We start from the raw sequence: 2,730 nt of genomic DNA on the forward strand, positions 1-2,730 counted from the left end.
GGCTGAACAAAGATTCTGGCTTTCTTAACCTGAAAACTATTTGGGCTGTACCAAGCTCTGCTCACAGGGGGAGGTGCCTCGCAGCAACTTCAGGAGGCTTTGCCCCGCCCAGCAGTCAGAAACTGATCCTGAGTCATGAGGAAAATGTGGAAAGTGCCTCTACCAGATGTGCAGACGGGATGCCCACTCCAGACCCACCCACCAGCAAACTGAAAAACTCAGGAAGCCACGTTTGAAAGCTCTTTCGGTTTCAAGGAGAAATAAGACTTTCAGCGAGGATTCTGATAGATTTCTTACTTTTCTGTCCCAGGGTTAATATCACAGACATGCACATTACTAGAGAGAGGACATGCAGAGAAAAATGGTGAAGTGTTGGCAAAGTTAATATGGGCTAGGCTGCAGACATGGCCCTGGTCAGACATGGCCCTGGTAGGCAGATCTGTGATAGTGATGAGGACTTCAGGAAGTGACTGGGAGTGAAAGAGCAGCTAATGGGGTGCAATGAAGAAAAGGTCACTTCGTGAAACAACAGGTAACATTTGGTCAAAGACAGAGAGAAGGGATTGTTAAGAGGAAAGTGAATGGAGTTTATTCCACAGCAGCTATAAGAACCCTAATTTCTAGCAACCAGGCTATGAAGATTCTGCACAGCTGTGTTAGGTGAGAGGAGAGAAAATAATTGTTTTTGCTCTGAAAGGCCAAGCAAGATCCCTATAAATACTATACTGCATCACAGTCAAAGTCCTGGTCCCTTCAACCTGAGACATTCATTTGGACACAATTCCAGGAACATGATTCTCAAGTTGTTTTGTTTGTTTCATTTTCACAAACTGTAAAGATGCTCATCATCTCATTCCTCAGCTTTCCTGACCAGTGTACTGTTAACCCTTGAACCTGAAATTACTTCCTTCTACCCCTCCTCCTGCACCAACCCTCCTGCTGGCTAGTTGAAGATGTAAGAGATAAGGGGGGTTGGGGATAACAAGTGAGCAACATAGAGCTCAACAAGGACAGGAAGCATGTTCTCTCTCCACTCACTGGGCCCATACCAATGTTTTCATAAAACAGTTCTGAGCATTTCTATAACTCTGGTCTCTGAGATCTCCTTCTTGGCATTTCCCTACAACTCCCTCTGTACCTTCTATGCCAAGATGGAAATTCAGCTAGAGGTAGGGCACAAGGAAACAGGGGTCCAGGGCAATTAGGCCTCTAAATATTGGCAACCATTCAGCTAGACAGTGAGATAGTCCTCAAGCAAATATCCCTGGTATGGAATTTTGGTTTTAAAATCAACGGAGGATGTTTTGTCTGGGCTCATATTCTTTAGCCATCTTTTCCACCTTCATACTTGTAAATCTAGCAGGGAATCACAGAACCTGGGAATTGGAAGGAACCTTAGAAGCCATGTTTATCCTCTTGCTCAGTGCAGAAATATCCTTCTGACAGTCTGAGAAACTCATCCCTATGCAAAACAGCTTATTCCATATTTGATCATTTCCTAATTGTTAAAAGGGTCTTCCTTAGGTTGAGGAAAAAATAGCTTCACACAAACAATTTCTAATTCCTCTTTCACATGACAGCCCTTTAAAATATCTAGCATGTCACGCCAAGTCATTCATCCTCTGGGCTAAATATCCTCAGTTCTTTCAAACCATGCCTCATAGGACATGGTTTACAGACTTTTTGCCACTCTAGTTGTCTTTTGAGCATAAATCTACTCAGTGTGCAGCCCGTAGCTTAATCAAAATCCTCTGTTGTTTCTTGCATGAACTACTACTATGTGCCTGATTCTAGGTTTGTACAATTGACTTTTAATTTTACCTGGATGCTGGGCTTTGTATTCATTCTCAAAAACCATTGCCTTGTTTATTTTAATCTATCTCCTTAAGATCTTTCTTTATCTTGAGCCTCATATACAAAATCATATTCTCCATAGTAATGTTTCTCAATCTTTTTTTATCATTATCACGGTCCTAAAGAGCCTTTTTAGATATTTTTCCCAATGTCTCTCCGTGAAATTTTAATACCACAGATATGCTGTCTATCTGTTTATTTGCTGTCTATCTGTTTATTTGCTGTATGTATATCTCTGTTTCATGTAAAAAAGAAATTTTTTTTTCACTCTTCAAGAATCAATTTTTGCCCTCTTGGGGGCAATATCACCCCCATTGAGAATGCATGATCTGTATCAATAAATGTTTTATATGTGTATTTGATCAGCCAGACTGATGAAAGTATTGAATGAGAGGGTCCAGGACAGAATACTGCAGCATAACCTTAAGAGTCTTCCCCTTTTGATAAGGTTGTTCAAACTTGAAACAATCCATATAACTCCTGCTACCACCCAGCTCTGACTTTTCCATCTTCTTCATGAAGATATCATAAGACTTTTTCAAATGTCTTGCTGAAATCCAGATACAGTATACTATGGTATCCCAGTGATCTATCCTTTTAGATACCCTTTTCAAAAAGGAAACGGACTTAGTTAGGCATGTCTTGCTTTTAGTCATCCCATGCTTACCCCTAGTGATTTCCGCTCCCTTTCTAAAGCCTCACAAACGATCTGCCTAACAGTGCATTCTACACTTTTGCCAAGGATAAATGCCATGCTCATTGGTCTTCAGTTTCCAGGATCTATATTTTGCACCCCACACCACCACCACCTACCTTCACTAAAAATTGGGATATTTCCCTGCCTCTTTGCACCCCTCATGTCTTCTCTTTGCCATA

The sequence above is a fragment of the Homo sapiens genome, chromosome X, assembly GCF_000001405.40.
Source record: "Homo sapiens chromosome X, GRCh38.p14 Primary Assembly".
Classification (NCBI taxonomy): Eukaryota; Metazoa; Chordata; class Mammalia; order Primates; family Hominidae; genus Homo; species Homo sapiens.